This window comes from Homo sapiens, chromosome 8 (assembly GCF_000001405.40).
Source record: "Homo sapiens chromosome 8, GRCh38.p14 Primary Assembly".
In the NCBI taxonomy this organism is placed as follows: Eukaryota; Metazoa; Chordata; class Mammalia; order Primates; family Hominidae; genus Homo; species Homo sapiens.
The window spans coordinates 50786901-50804057 of NC_000008.11; the positions used below are offsets into that span (position 1 = coordinate 50786901).

General features: G+C 32.9%; 1 protein-coding gene across 13 annotated transcripts in view; it reads left to right on the top strand.

Annotated features, from left to right (window-relative positions):
• The window catches only part of SNTG1 (syntrophin gamma 1), an 886897-nt gene extending 877105 nt beyond the window's left edge, over positions 1–9792 (top strand). For all 13 annotated transcript variants that reach the window (NR_135796.2, NR_135795.2, NR_135797.2 and 10 more), the window contains one exon: positions 5771–9792. Coding sequence is in view for 9 of the 13 variants with exons in the window: in NM_001287813.3 (NP_001274742.1) it covers positions 5771–5929 (159 nt within the window). In the remaining 4 variants the exon portion in view is untranslated. The remainder of the gene's footprint in view (positions 1–5770) is intronic.
• The last annotated feature ends 7365 nt before the right edge of the window (positions 9793–17157 follow it).

A 17157-nucleotide genomic window follows, 5' to 3' on the forward strand; every position in this document is an offset into this window, starting at 1 on the left:
TTAAATTTTTGTAACCTTGGGTTTGACAATTGTGCTTAGACTCCACACCAAAAGCACAAGAATCAAAGGGGAAAAAAATAGACAAATTGGACTTTTTCAAAATTTAAAGCACTTGTGCTGAGTAATACTATAAAAAAGGTGAAATACAACTTGCAGATTGGCAGAAACATTTTCAAATCATTTATCTGTTAAGGAGACTGTATGCAAATATATAAAGGGTTTTCAGAGAAAAAAAAAGAAAAGAAACATAAATACCCCAAATAAAAATTGACAAAGGATTCAAATTGACATTTCTCCAGAGAAGATATTCAAATTGTCAATAAGCACAAGAAATGATGCTCAAATCATTAGTCATCAAAATGCAAATCAAAACCACAGTAAAATACAGCTTCCCACTCTATAGGATGGTTATAATATTTTTTTAAAAAAAGAAACTAGACAATAATAATGATTAGTGAGGATGTAGAGAAATTGGAGCACTCAGATTTTGCTAGTGAGAATGTAAAATGTGGTAACTCATTTAAACAAAAGTTCAACATTTTCTGAAAAAGTGCAAGCTGAAGTTGTCATATGACCCAGCAATTCCACTTCTAGATATATTCAAGAGCAATTAGAAGATATTCCCAAACACACAAAAAAGAAACTCTACACAGATGTTCACTGCAGCATTATTCACAAAAAATCAAAAGTAGGAACAACCCAAATGTTCAACAGGTGATGAATGGGGAGGAAGAGATATGTCCATATCAGGAAATATTCATCAATAAAGAGAAAAGAAGTACTATCTATGCCACAACATAGGTGCACCTTGAAAATAGTGTATTAAGTGAACGTAGATAATCACAAAATATCTTATGTGTATGATACTATTTATATGAAATGTCCACAAAAAGCAAACCCATAGAAAGACAAAAAAATAATGCTTATCAGGCTCTGAAGAGAGAGGAAATGAGGAGTGACTTGTACTGGGTATAGGATATATTTTTGGAGTGATAAAAATGTTCTAAAATTTGATGATGATAGTTGTACATCTGTGAATATTCTAAAATCCGTTTACTTGCATGCTTTAAACAGGTGAGTATTATAGTATGTGAACTATATCTCCCTAAGGCTGCTGCAGAAAAAAGGTGAATGACACATAAAGGGGATGTCAAGCCAGGGAACATATTCATTTACACAATAATGACATAAGTAAATCTGACCATAATGGCATTAACAAGAAATAAACCTATGAATAATGATGGAGCTATTTGTTTTTCTCTAATGACTGCAAGGCCATTAAGAATATTAGAGTTAAATCTGGCCTGGAAGAAGAGATGACAATCACAGTAGAAATGAAAGAGAAGCCTATCTTGAAATCAAGAGCCATAATGGAAACATAATAATGCTATTAAGCAAGTGATTTACAGAATGTAATTTTCTCCAGCAGTTTCAATATTTTTTTGTCCTCACATTCTAAGAGACTCACTTGAGTTATGGTTTAATGATCTATTGAATGTTGCATGGCCATGTTACTGTGGGAAACAGGTATGCAAATGTAGATGATGACTTAGTTGGCTCTCAATTTTGTTCAGAGGACTCAAGAGTTATTGACCCACTTATGCCATTATTGGAACGCTAAGCGTGTGGGAGTTGTTTATATTCTACTTCTCAAGGTCATCAGCAAGGTCTGATTGCAAAAATTCAAAAAATTGCGGTCTCAGGCATAAATGGGTTGAAAGCTTTTAAGGAGCAAGCAGAATGAGGAAGATAAATTCCAGATTTTATGCCTAAAATGATATCTATAAGTTAGTAGTTTGTCCAAATTCTCAACACTTCCTGCTTTATCCTATCAGGCTATGACTTTGCTTTGTATCCCACTTAAAACACAGAATGAAGCAAAGCTACACACTACCAAATCTACCCACCTTCCTTGAGTTGTACCCATATACTGTGCCTCATCTCCTGCGGCCTCAGATCAATTGTCCAGGTTTCCATCCATGTCCAGCCTCTCCATTTTTGCACCAGATCTCACCCTGCTCAAGAATACAGTTTCTACAATTGTCCTCAGATTTGATATCTCAACCATTTCATGCCAGCAATTCTACAAATATATACTAATTTCATAAACCTTGGAAAAACATTCTTGATTTCCTATTGATATATTCCTATGCCCCCTTTAAAAAGGAAAAGAAGGATTTCTTTTCCAAAGAGAAGCTGCTTGTAGTAGACTTGCCTGTAGTAACTCTAATACCTTCACATGCAGGCTCTCATGAAGCCATTCTTATGAAGTTTTTGTTTCCACTTCTCCATAAAACGACTCTTGTAAAGGATTAAAATGGCCTCTGTGTTGCTAAATTCAATGGTCAATTTCCAGCTGTCATTTTACAAGACTCCCGGGTTTTGCACTCACTTTCTTGGCAACTACAGCTATTTCTTCTTTGCTGGTTCTACCCCATCTTTCTTACATTTTTATACTGTGGAGTCTCAGGGATGAGTGCCCAGTCATTTTCTCTACCTATCCTGCACACCTTGATCTTCTCATCCAGACCACAGTGCTTTACCTACCATCTATGTGCTGACAGAAGCTGAACTTCTATTCTGAACTCTAATTTTTCCCTTAAATCCACACTAATATATGCAGTTCTCCACTTATCACCTATATGTCTAATATGCGTTCAGATGTAACATGCCCAAAACCAAAATCTTGATCTTTACTTCCAAACCTGCTTTTCCCATAATTTCTCCATTTGCAGAGCAACACGTTTTTTCCAGTTATTGAAATCTACTTTCAAATTCAACCCCTTTCCATATAGAAAACTTTGTAACTTCTCCTTCTTTCAATCCAATTCTCATAAAGCTCATTCTCAATAGTCTAACCAGAATCATCATTTTCTGACTTTTGTCAATGCCTGTCACTCCTCTGCTCAAAAATTTCCCATGGTTTCCCATGTCGCTCATAGTAAAACTCATAAAGGCTCATGCAGCATGCAAAGTGTTTTCTTTGATCTCATTGTCTGCCAAGTACTTCTTAATTCATTCCATTCCACACAAAATAACCCTTGCTTTTCTTCTGACTCTCCTGGAATGTCCCTATCTCTGGGCCTTTAAAATTATAATTCTTGTGTCTGGAATATTTCCCCACAAACATGGAAATGGCTCACTCCATCTTCCCTTTCAAGTTCCATATACAAGGCAACATGAATTTTCCTTCCCACGGCCCTTTGAGTAGTCTTTGCTGTCTCCTCCGCTTTATTTCTTGATGGTAACTGTCATATTCTGACATATTGTCCTTAATTTATTTCTGCCCTTAGTCACATTTTGCCTCCTGTCACTGGAAAGTAACTCCCATCAGGACTGTTTTGTTCCTTTGTTTGTTTTTGTCTGTTTTATTCACTGCTATCTTTTAACAACAACAAAAAAGAGTAGATGCATAGGAAGCATTTGGTATTTTATTGAATGGCTGACTCTTTACATTTTTGAAGATAGCTTATATTTAGTGATATCTGAGGGATCATGATGATCATAAGACTTTTTTTACAAGGGAAACTTGTAAGTCTGTGACTTGGTGGAAGCTGTCGGTGGATGGATAGATAGATGTTCATCATCAGTGGATGTTTGATAGGTGGTAAGAATGCAGGTCTAGTACTCACATAAGAAATTAGTAAATGAGCAGTGTGAGTTTACATAAAAGGAATCGTTGACACCCTAGGAGTGGAAATGGTTGCCAAGGCTGATCACTGAGGCAGAGGAAAGATGTGTGGGCATTGTAATGAAGAGTCAAACTTGGATCCATCTTGGTCTCCTGCTTTCTCTTCTAATCACCTGCTATTATTTCCCGTCTACCATTACTTCAAAATGGGTATAAAAAGTTTAAAGTGTCAATCTATATCAAATTATTGATAAATAATTGACAAGGTGGGAGTAATTGAAAATTTTTATTTTTCTAAAGATGCCTGGATACTTAGATATTTAAGGGTTGTTTATTTTTGGTAACCAAAATATAACCTCTATTTTAATAAAGAGATGGCAGAATTACCTTTGAGAAAAAGTTATTTGCCATACTATTTTCACCCAATTGTAACACTCAACTATATTCTCCTCCTTACCAAGAATGAATTGCTTATTTTTGTTGTTGTTGTTTTATTTTTTAATAACATGCAAGAACATTTTACATTTTCCCAAAATTTCCAAACCTTTCACATTAGGTGGATTTAATTTGGGAAGATAGAGAAAGTATTTAAAATGTGTTTGGGAAATAAACTGGCTACACCAAGCATTATGGGGTGAATGGAGGATTTCCAGGGTGAGTTAAGGCAAAGAGAAACTTGCTTATTTACAAATAACATGACTAGTGCCACTGAAGCAGATTATTATAAATAAAGCTTCTAAGATCATTATGATGGAGTTACTAAAAACTTTTTTGGTGGAAATATCTAAGGGAATTAGAATAGTTAAATGAATAACCTCTTCTATTCTCTAGGACAAGTTGCTATTTCACAAAGGAAACTATCAAATATTGAAGGTTTCAAGGGAGCTACTGAGAAAGCATAGCTATGTCTTCTATATTATAGGGACACCTGAATATATATTATGGGGTATCGTACTCCTGTTGCATGACCTGAGAAAATACTCCTCGGATGAATTATTTTATTTAAATAGCTGTCTGGTACACGACAGATATTACAATGTGTCATAAAGTATTGAATATTTTGTAATATTTTCCACTGCCACATGTAAGTTGTAAACACAGTCATGTACATATCAATTATAATTCTAAATTCTTTATTACATATATGTAGTGAAATATATAATAAAATAGCAATGAGTTTGTCAGAAATTTCATATGCTTTATTACCCTCTAGTTACCCTCCTTGTGATAAGTTCATCGTATTGATTTCATTAAGCACACAAATGTATTAGTCTTTCAATCATCTTGAAATTAAGACATGTTTATGTGATTATTGATGGTCTTTAATAATAATACTAGCAACATCATCTTTCTAAATGTATTCTGAGCATAGCTTTAAGATTTTATAGTTATTTTGACAAAATTATGGTTTGAAATAACTTTTTCTGTTTTCACTGCAATATATATAGTTTGGTTGCCACTGGTAATAAATGGGTTACAAATTTCCTTTGGTATTTAAATGAGAAACCTATTTCTAAAAATCCAAAATGAATTAGTGAGCTCTAGTTTATTTTTTTTTTTTTTAGTAAATATGCCACATAAACCATTAAACAGCCAGCCACAATTAAAATTAATGCAGGAATTATTTTTTGAAAGTGAACCATTTGGCTCCTCTGGTTATAAGAGTTCATATCCCCTTACTTCTAGCATTTCTTATTCAGTTTCTTATGGCAAATATTAACTCATTCTAGAGAATACTCAAGAATAGTTTTAAATTGCCCTAATCCATATTTATCATCTGATGTGTGCACAAAGAGATAAAAATACTTTTAAAAGTACTTCCAAGTTTATCTTTAATTGTACATTATCAAGAGTAAAATTTTGGCAAAATATATTTATCAATCAGTGCTAAAAGAACATTCATAGATGGTAAGAGTGATTAGTCCTCCTACCTCTTATCCACCATGTATTGAAATAAATTTTCACTACTTACGATGTTTACACGTTGACCAAAAATGTCTACATTTGAAATTAGTTTCCACATGTTACATATCATAGATTCTAGATAAGTGTATTGAAATTGAAAAAAAATCTAGCTATTATAAATTTTTAAAGACATTAATTTTTATGTTATCTGACCTGTTTCTCTTTCCCTTTCAGGAGTTGGAATTTTCTAATTTATTTGCTGTTCTTCACTGCATTCATTCCTTCTTTGCTGCCAAGGTAGCTTGTTTGGACCCTCTATTTTTAGGCAATCAAGCTACTGCTTCTACTGCTGCCAGCTCTGCTACCACGAGCAAAGCAAAGTATACAACTTGACATACTGAACTCTTCATTGACACACCCCATGACTGTATAAGCAGGACACATTTACTCATCATTTTAGACCCTAGAGAAACCATAACATCACCAAGTCGACAGTGGAGGCAAATCAAAATTTCGGCAGAAAAAGAAGGTCATGTGGAACCTCAAAAACACTTCTATTCTGGATGACATCTGTGAAATATACTACATGAACAGAACAGCTTGTTCTCACTCAGTTGCTTTGTACCAGTAAGTGTATTGCTTTCACCAAAAGTGGAGACAAAAGAATAAATTATTTGAAGAAGTATGTAAATAACATAAAAATAGTAAGCTACCTATGAATAAAAATACTTATTAAATGATTACTTCTGTATTTTAGATTATTTTGTATGACTAGTACATGTTGGGCAGAGTCATAGGAAAACAAATGCCCTATCTTGTATTATGAGGGACATAAAAGAGTTAAAAACCATAAATCAGCAAGGAGCATGCAAAAAAATCTCATCAAAGAAGGATGCACTTTAATTTGCTGATGTAAATTTGCCCTTGTGTTCTCATCCCATGATTTGACACTGGCATTCCAATTGTTTTTATCTTATTGTAAATATTCCGAAGAACTTCCAAAGGATAATTACATTGACCCATGATAGATACAATGTGAAATGGACTATTCTCCCTTGGATCACTGTTATTGAAATGTCTTATTAGCTGCCAAAGTCAATCAAATATGCCAACAGTGTATTAATTTAATTATGAGTGATGGAAAATTTCATGAACCTCTCATTTCTTCCTTGGTTTGAAAGAGATTTGTATTTTACCTAATAAGATTTATTATCAAATTAAAGTTTCATAAATTTTCAGTGAACCCAAAACCTTTTGTAGAGAAAATAATATAAACAAATATGGTGTGAGAAACAATTCTTTGTAATCCGAAGTCTACTAGTTAATCATGAACTAAAATGTCCCCCGAAAACAGTCCCAAAGCTATTATAGATGTTAATTAAATGACATTTTTTCATTTTAGTACTATTTTATGAGAAACAAAGGTGATATTTAAAGATAAAAGTTAAAATTCTTTAACCTCCCTTGTCATGGAAAGTGATTAAGTAATGCCAACTATGCAGGTTGTTTTAGGTATTTTGTCCTAAGAATGTAAATGTGAAAGGCTGGGAAATTTGAAAGCCTTAGAGGTGTGCAATTTACTCAGATTCCAGGTATTATTCAACTAGTTGTATAACATGGAACACAGTCTCTGTCCTTCAGTACAGCTTTTTTGAGATATTTTAAAAAGTCAGCTGTGTATGTAAAAAAAAAAAAAAATTTTTATTGATACACATGCTCCCAGGTAAACCAAGTATTATGTGTGTCCTTGTGGAGATAACCAAGTATCTAATAAATTGATTCAATTTTTTTTTTCAAATATGTTTTTAAAAATCACTCAAGAAGGAAACAAAGTGATTTCTATAAAGGACAGATTTACTAATTTAAAAAATTAATATCAAGTTGTTTTTATACTCATGATTCATTAATTTATTTTGCATCAGATTAATTTGTAAATACATCAAATTGAAAAGAAAAAGTGAGGGTTTATAATTGTCCCTGGGAAAATGTTAAACTGAATCTAACATACCTTACCCAAAGAACTGTGGCAAATTACAATAAACAGTTTCAGTGTAATGTATTTTGACCGTAAAACTAAGTACACATTTGTAATTAGGATAGAACTTTAGAATTATTGCACACTATATTGATCAAATACAACAGTCATTGTAAAATTGAAACCCACCAAAAGCAGCCTTCAGTAGTAGGCCACTTCTGAACTTATGGAGAAAAAGCAGTGGGATACATCGAACTTAGAATTTTCAGCTGTGGCAAGTGGTTCATTATGGAACTTCTGCTTCCAACCAGAGCTGAATCTCAGTGTGCCCCATATTGGGGTTACATGAATGTGTCCACAATCTGGAAGGCAATATGACATGGGCTAATTATCCATAAGCAAAAGAAAAACGTTTCAACAGTTTACCTACCTGTAATAGAATGATTTAAAAATTGTGAAATTTTGTAAACGTTCCATTTTAGAATTTAAAAAACCTATTAACCATTAGCTATCTTTTTAGTGTTATTATGAAAATTTAGCCTATGCTCATGTGTGTTACGAAGGAAAAGGTGCACAATGAGATATGTATAAATATATATCTCCTCAGAGAATACACACACACCTACATATGTATTTATATGCATACATGGGTGTATATATATATAAATATAATGAAATGCTGACCATTAATTATATTAGAAGAATGTTTTGTGTACATACATTTAATATACTTTAAATTACGTTGTAAAATGTAGCTTGATTAAAAACTTATGACAATACCATTATGAATATTTTTGATACTATTGATAAAAAACATAAGCCGTGATTTTTATTTAACATGATTAGTACAACAGCCAAAAAGTAACAAAATACTATTCTCGTTTTCATCAGTTTAACAATTAGTATTTAATGTTTTCTTTACAATGTGGTGATTAGTCATTGGCATTTGTTATAACTTGGACTACTTGAATGAGAAAGCTTTGAAATGAACAAAAACACTTAAAAATTTCTATCTCTCATATAATTTAGGTTTACATGTAAGAGATTTATTCATAAAATCCTAGTTTGTACATTAAGCACATTTTAACAGCAAAATGCTAATGTGTTAACCCCTCCAGTGCCTTGGTATGTGTGAGCGTGTATGTGTGTTTGGGTGTGTGTCTGTGTATGTGTGTGAGTGTGTAAGTGTTATCATTAAAGGGTTCATTACAGTGTACATAACACAAGCTTAATGGAGAATATTGTAGGTATTTAGGTCAGAGAATGAAGTTCAAAGTCATTTGAAAACTGCTAACTACTATAATAATGTCTTTTGCCTGATAAAGAATAACAATTCATCTAAGTCGAAGTATATTACAGAAAGGGCATTTATAATTTGTTAAAATGCAACAAGTATTTATTTAAAAAATAGTTTAATAGATAGTGTAAGTGTAATGTATATCTGAACACTTATCCAGCTTTTTTAAAATGGGAGGATAATCAGGTAATTATTTCTTGCCCATATTTCAGGCATGTACCAACTTATAATTTTGAAATCTTCGCTCATAAAGCTGTCATTCAGCAAGAAAAAGAAAGCAATTACTTGAAAATAAATGTCAAGTCCATATTAGCCATGCAAAGAGAGAAATTTTCCTTTGGGTGCATTAGTTTATAGATCAACATTTCCCTCATTTACAGTGCTGAAGCTTGATCATGAACTTTGTCTATGTTGAATGCTGGATTTAAGAAAAGCTTGATTTATTACTGAGAAAAATTAATAATCCTAACGATAATTTAGAATTACTGCTAGAAATCAGCAGTGTGGAGAAGCTTTAAAAGCACAAGGATGATCTTGTGCTTAACTTTTTAAGGTAAGTGTAGATGTTCGGATACTAATAACAAAGATTTTGCTACTATTAATATTGCTGTGCTCATAATTTCTCCTTATGAAATTGCTTTATTCATACTTCTAAAATTGTTCTTTATTGTTTATTCTTACTACCGAATACTTTAAAATCATAATGCCACTTATTTGCACATTTGAATTTGCTTTTGAAAATAAAATATTATAAATGTTATATATTTTATACATGTTAAAATGCAGTGAAAAGACAAGAAATATAAAATGTAAATATATTTATTTCATTTTTAATTGTTTTGGTGGATGTTTGTAAAATGTAAATTAATATCTGTGACAAAAATTTGTCACTTCATTCTTTCAGTTCATTAATGTACTACTAATGAAACCATACTTTTTTAAATGAAGCATACTGGAAAATAAAAACAAATACTTTTTACTAGATTTGGGTTTTCATTTCTTTGGGTTTGATTTGTAAGGATTTTACATATGTTTAAAACAAGATCCTGAGAGATTTAACTTCAATGAAAAGGTTTAAGATATGAACTGTGTATATATAAGTGCAGACTATGTGGTACATAATCTGTTCTGGTTGACAAATATTTGTGAAGAATAGACATCTAACTCCCAAATGTTCCCAAAGTTTGAAGAAAGATAGGATTTGTCAAATTACTTACCCAACTGAGTTACAACTTCTGAAAAATATGACGTTTGATATCACTGTAATTTATCAATTCTAGTGCCCTTTCTGTAGATTAAGATTTTCTGTGTTGACATCCATGCCATCTACAAGAGAGTCTGTTTTATTTCTTCCTTTTTATTAAGTAAGTTTTAATTTTGGCTTCCTACCATATTACACTGGTTGAAACTTCCAATTTAACACTAAATTGTTGTTTAACACTAACTGTTGAAAGTAGACATCCTTCCATTGTAAATGATTTTAGGGGGAAAGTATTCAATCTATCACCGTTAAATACTTTGTTGGCATGGGTTTTCAGTAAATGCCTTTATCAGACTAAGCAAGTTTCTCTTTCTTCGTAGTTTGCTGAGAACTTAAAAGTTCATAATAAAGTATGAATAAATACTAAATGTTGTCATAGGCTTTTCCAGCATCATCGAAAGGGTTATATGATTTTCATACTGAGTAACACTGATTCATTTTCAAATGTTGAACTATCGTTGCATTGCTGGGATCGATTCACTTGGTCATAACATAGTATCCTCTTTATAAACTGTTGGATTTAATATGAATTATTCTCTCTCTCTTTTTTTGTGATCACTTCTCCCCAGAAAGTCTTCTTGGTTGTATTCTCTTTCAAGAAAACACTGATCCTGATCTCTTTTATTGTTTCCACAAATATTCTATAACCATCTTGGCCCTGAGTCTACTGGAGCCCACCAGTCTTCTTTGGCAGCTCCAACCAGCTTTAGAGTTTCCTAGACACGAGTCAGATACTACTATTCCTTAAGTCTCACACACTCTAGGGACCACAGATGAAGCATTTTTGTTGATTTTTTGCAGATATTTCCCACCCCTTTTGTAGGTGCAAGAAGCACCCAATTGCCATGTTAGGCAGGAAAACAGAAATGTCATAAAAGTGTTACAACTCAAAAGTTTCCACTAGATTAGGAATTTAACACAGGCAAGTAAGGAGAGAAGGAAGGGAACATACACCTGAAATGACAACTCCATTTAAGAAAAATCCCACAATAATATATATTTTTTAGCCTGGTGAGGCTGGTCTCGAACTTTTGGGCTCACGCATTTCACCTGCCTCAGCCTTTCAAAGTGCTGGGATTACAGGCATGAGCCACTGCACCCAGCCCACAATATTTTTTTTTTGCATTGAAGGAAATGCACCAGTCCACTTTTGTGTGGATAGAGTTATTAAATCATTTGGATAAATATCAGTGAATTCAATTGTCAGATCATTGGGTAGGAATATATTTAGTTTTGTAAGAAACTGCCAAATTGCCTCCCAAAGTGGCTGTGCCATTTTGTATTCTCACAAGCAATAAATGAAAGTTTCTATTGTTCTTTGTCCTTGCCATAAATTTATGTTGCCAGAGTTCTTAATTTTAGCCACTCTAATAGGTGTATAGTGACTTCTCGTTGTTTTAATTTACAATTCCCTAACTCTCTTGTTTTTAAGAATTTCTGATAACTACTTATGCTAAAGATAAGGCAAAGATGGAAATATGTAATGTGATGAGTGTTTGCAAATAATTGTAGGAGGACAATAGAGACAGCTGGCAACTCTTCATAATGACATTGGACAGAAATTTACAGTACAGTAAATATGTAGCTTAAAGATACGTAAGGACACAAAAGAATGTAACTGTGCCTTGGATTGTTGTGATAAAGGCCAAAGCTGAAAGAGAACATTAGGTATACCTGTGAAAATAATTTATGCTATGATAAGGAATTTGAGGTTTAGTTTATTGACAATTGGAAGATTTTAGAATATTTTAACCAAGAAAATTACATCAATAGCTTTTTAAACAATTATATTTATTGGCAATATGAAGAATAAAATTAGAAGCGAGAAAAGAGAGATTGTAAGTTTGAGAATAGCCAGAAATAAGTAAATCCTTTCTAGTTGATTAAATTCTCAGGATGATTAAAATCTCTGATAAGCTAGAGAAATAGAAATAATAAAAAGGTATAATAGTGTGTAGTCCAAGTATAAACAGATTTCAAATGAGAATATGGAAAATTGTAAATATTTTCTTAAATGTGCTTATCTTTGTGAAAATCTAAATTAACAAACTTGGAATCTAAACTATCAGCCGGTTACTATAATACTCCCAAGAGAGTGTGTGTGATCACAATTTGCATGCTTGATATTCATGTTGAATATTATAGAATAAGCTCTGCATAGGAGTATCTTGTAAATTTCCAAGAGGTTAATAAGAAACAACAGGGACAAACCTGGAAGAAATGAAAGACTTCTTGAGTGAGAGACAGCTGTTGTGTTAGGCTAATTGTATATAAAATAATAAGAAACTGTATGGGAAACATAGCAAAACTATTCTCAGTAAAGAAAACCATTCCACCAAGAACATGTAGATTATTTAACAGTGTTTAAGAACAAAATTGGTATTGACAGAACTTAACTTGAACCAGACTGTTATAAAGATGCATCCCTAAGTTAATTATAACATGCCGCAGGATAGGGCTCTCTCTTTAAAGTACATCTTGTTTGCAAGCTGTGACTTACTAACAAATAGATTGCATGGGAAGATGAGTGTTATCACAGCAGAAAATTATCTCCAATGGTTCATATCATGGTAGAGAAGGATGAAAATATTGCTGAAAAATGAAAATTCTTTTTCACTATTTGTACCATACTTCTTACGTTTTCAGATTTGCATTGCATTGATTCTTTATATTAGCATAATCAAATTAATCTCTTGAGATTTCAAGATCCATCCAAGTAATTAACATCCTGGAAATACTAAGACAGATAGATGTCTTAATAAGAAAAAATAAATATTCATTTCCATTGTTAAATAAAATTTTTATATATAAGTAGTTATTAAAAATATTACAAATTAATTAATATTGGGGGAATCCTGTCTTTCCTTCTATCATTTAATAGTTGATTTCTCAGGTGGCTTTGTAATGGGTCAATCTGTCATACTGAACTACATTTTCCAGAAATTCATTTACTGTAGACTTTCTTTGAGGGTAGCCACAGGAGACATTTTGCACGATATTTGAACAGCAGTGGTCAAGCAACGTACTGTTTTATGCTTGGTAGGTACCACTGCAACTCACTTAGGTTGTGGCTGAGTCCAGGCACTGCTGCAATTCACGCAGGTTTTTGCTCAGCTACTGTTTCACCTCACTGGTATAGAGCAGCAGCCAGGCTGTAACCAGGCCAGTTCTCCAGTGAACCTTCCTTCAGTTTCTACCGCACGTCGGCAGGTGCATGTTTAAGTCCTCTCTCCTGAAAGACAATCGCATCTTTAAACAGGAAAGTGGGAGATGATGTAGGTTTCAGTCCATCTGCATGCCCTGAAGCTCATTAGTTCATGATTACGTGTTCTAGTTTAGTTTACTCCCGCTCTTCCCCACTTGACATCCAACTTCGCTTACCCATTGCCTGCACAGGTGCAAAGACAATAGACTTGCAGAGACTGTTTAACCAGCTCTCAAAGCTGGGGAAGGTCAAGTCCCTGAAATAAATTTATATATTTACATACATATAAATATACCAGATAAGATCAATATCTCTATCTCCTGGTTGTGTTGCATCGTATTTGAATCTTTTATGATACTTTTGCAAAATGTTTATGAAAATATGAATTATCAAAGAGAATTAATAAATATTTTCAAATTCAGATGGCAAATTTTAGTTTAAAAGAAGTTCAACTCGTTTAGTTTGATGTTTTTCACACCTATGGAAGTCATTCAATTAATGTTATTGATTACAGAATTTTCAGAGTACTCATTTGTTGATAGTTGAAAAGAAATATCTGTTGGTTCAAGAGGTATCAGAATCTCAGTCAGAGGAAAATCACTTAGAATTTAGAGTCAATCAGAAGCAATGGTGTGAAGAGATTTAAGGATCATTCCATTCTTATTTGTCAAAAAAGAAAATGGAAACAAAAAGTCATTGTTATCATACAAACTCACACAATTGGTAGACATAATCTTGAATATGATAACAAAATTACAGTGCTAAAAAAAAGGCCCGATGGAGTACCTGAAAGCAAGTCTGCACATAGGATATGGAGTAAGATCCAGAGACCTCGACACTCAAGTTACTTCATCATCACCACCACCAACAACAAATGATATATAGTGGCTTACGCGCATGAAAAGAATTTGAGGCATTTTAGTAACTTTAACCATGTTACTGTCCACTCTATACAACCTACCTTTTTAAAAAATAATTTATTCAATAGTTAACAAGACTATTTTTATAAAATCAGCTTTCAATTTTGAATTTTTAGGGCAAACTTTGTGAATGAAACATTCACAATAGCTAGATCATCTATAATCCTTTCAAATCAATTATTTGGAAAGAAATGGATTTAATTACACATAAGCACTTACAAATATATAGGCAAAACATTTGAATACATTCTCCTTCTAGATTGTCCAAACCAAATCAAATTTTAGAATGCTATCAAATTATACAAAGAAAACAAGTGTTAGGATATACATTAGAATCTGTCTTCTAACCCACAGATTATTTTTAAATCATTGTATTATAGTTACATATCTAATTTTCACTCATTTTCTTTTCCTTCTGATTTATAAAACTAATTGTTCTATTAATAGTTATTACTCTTGCAAAGTATTGATTTTTAAGCATAGGGCTTCAAAAATATGTAAGTAGAGTATTGAAAATTAAACAAAAATAAATTCTGAAATACTTGATGTGTAAGGATTTGCAAACAATAATGCAAAGAATATCCATGTACACTTATACCAATTTATCCAAATAATAATATCTTGCATAAGTATAATGTATTATCAAGACCAGGAAATTGGTATTATTATAGTATAAGTAACTAAACCACAAACCTTATTCAGATTTCATCTGTTTGTACATGCACTCATATTTAGGTGAAATGTTGTGACATGTAGAGACTTCATGTGGCCACCACCAGCAGGATGCAGAAAAGTTTTATCACCAGAGAGTAACTCCCTTGTTCCACCCCTTTATAGTTTCTTACTGGCCTAATTGTAGCCCCTGGCAACCACTGACTTATTCTCTGCCACTAAAATTTTTTATTTAGAGAATATCATATGCATGGAACCATACAACAAGTTACATTTTTAAATGACCCTTTTCACTCAATAGAATACTCTTGAGATATTTTCAAGTTCTTGCACTCATCAATTCTTTGTCACTTTTTACTGCAAATTCATTTCCTATTATATGGTTATCATGATACTGGAAAAAGGTGTCCTGATCCAGACACTAAGAGAGGGTTCTTGGATCTCATGCAAGAAAAAATTCAAGGTGAGTCACAGAGTGCAGTGAAAGAAAGAAAGTTTATTGAAAGCTACTCCATTACAGAGTAGGACATCCTCAGAAAGCCTGAGAGGGAACTCACCATCTTCGGTTTTAGTTTTTCTTATATAGGGGTCTAGTTTATGTAAAAACTATCCTTGACATTTTAGTTTGTGAGTTTATCAAAGTAGAACTATAATTATATTAAAAGCATATATTGTTATAAATATTGGGACACCTGGAATTTCCACTTTTGTAGGAGTGTGTCCTTGTAGATGTCTTTAGGCTATTTCCTCAACTATAAACATCTTAGAACCATGGATTGTGATTGGCAAGGAATGTTCTTTGCTGGTTTTAAGATGGGGTTGACTTTAAAATGTTGTCAGCCTGGCTTTCCTAGGTTCTTGCTTTCATAAAAAAATACCACAGTTTACTCATCATCCATTAAAGACATTTGAGTTGTTTCCAGTTTCTACATATTAGAAATAAAGGTGAAACAAACATTTATGTGCCCATGTTTGGTGAACATGAGTTTTCATTTATCTGGGATGAATGACTAGCAGTCAAACAGCCTCAAAGAATCATTGAGACAACAGCTGCTAGGTTTTCTTGTCACACTTCATAGATATATGTGGTAAGGAGATAAGGAGCCCGAGTGTATTTTTACAGTTCATTTTTCATGGCATACCAGGCAGTGTAAGCTTCATATTGTCCTTTGTCCCCCAAGATCCATGGAGGCAAAGCAGGCTTGGACCCAGGTAGTTACAGGTCCTTCAGTGGGTCTGCGTCTGGCTGAAGAGCTTAAAAATCCCCCATCTGTATAAAAGAATTGCTCCCAAGCCTACCTATTTGTCTTCTCTGGAGAGATAGACATCTTTATTACTGTGGTGTGTAAGCAGATCTTCACTGGGAAGGGGAGAAAATGGTCGTTACTGTTATACAGTATCTCTGGGAAGGGAGAAGTTTTCTATCTCCACCACCTTGGTGATAAGATAAATCTATCTGTAGCTTCAAAGGATGTTGCTGTGTGAGAATGCTTGCACGTGGGTGTGTAAAAATATTTGAAAAGATAACTCATGCTGCAAGATGTGCAGAAATATTATTGAGATGTGGTTCTCAAAAACCAATAGACAAATGTCCAAATGTTCTGTTATCTAATGTGTTTAACTTCACAAGAAACTTTTAAGTATTGTCCAGAGAGCTGTGATATTTTACATCCCCACTAGCAATGCCTGAGGTATCCAGTTGCTCTTCACCCTCCTCAGCTCTCAGTATTATTGGTATTTGTTTCAATCATTCTAGTAGGTAGGTAGTGTATTTTTCATCTTGGCATTAATTTGCGTGTTCTGAATGGATAATGATGTTGAACAAATTTACAAGTGCTTATTGGCTATGAATATATCTTTTTTTGCAAAAGCAGCTCTTCAATTCTTTCAGTGATTTTCTAATTGAGTTTTTAATATCTGTTGAATTTAGAAACTTACATATTCTTGATTTTGTCAGATGTGTGATTTCTGTACATTTTCTTCCAGTATAAGGCTTGAGTTTTTATTCTCTTAACAGGATCTCACACTTACCTTATACTTTTAAATTTGAAGTCCAATTCACAGATTTTTAAAAGGAATTTTACTTTTTGTGCTTTATTTATATTTATGTTCTTCTGTATATATGTATCTATGTATTTTAAAGTTTTTTATTTTGAAATATAAATTCACAGGAAATTACAAAAATAGTGCAATATGGTTGTCTTAATTTCTTCTTTTTTCCCTTATTAGAGTGACTACAACTTCCAAGATAATGTTAAGTAGCATTGATGAGAACATACATCCTTGTATGC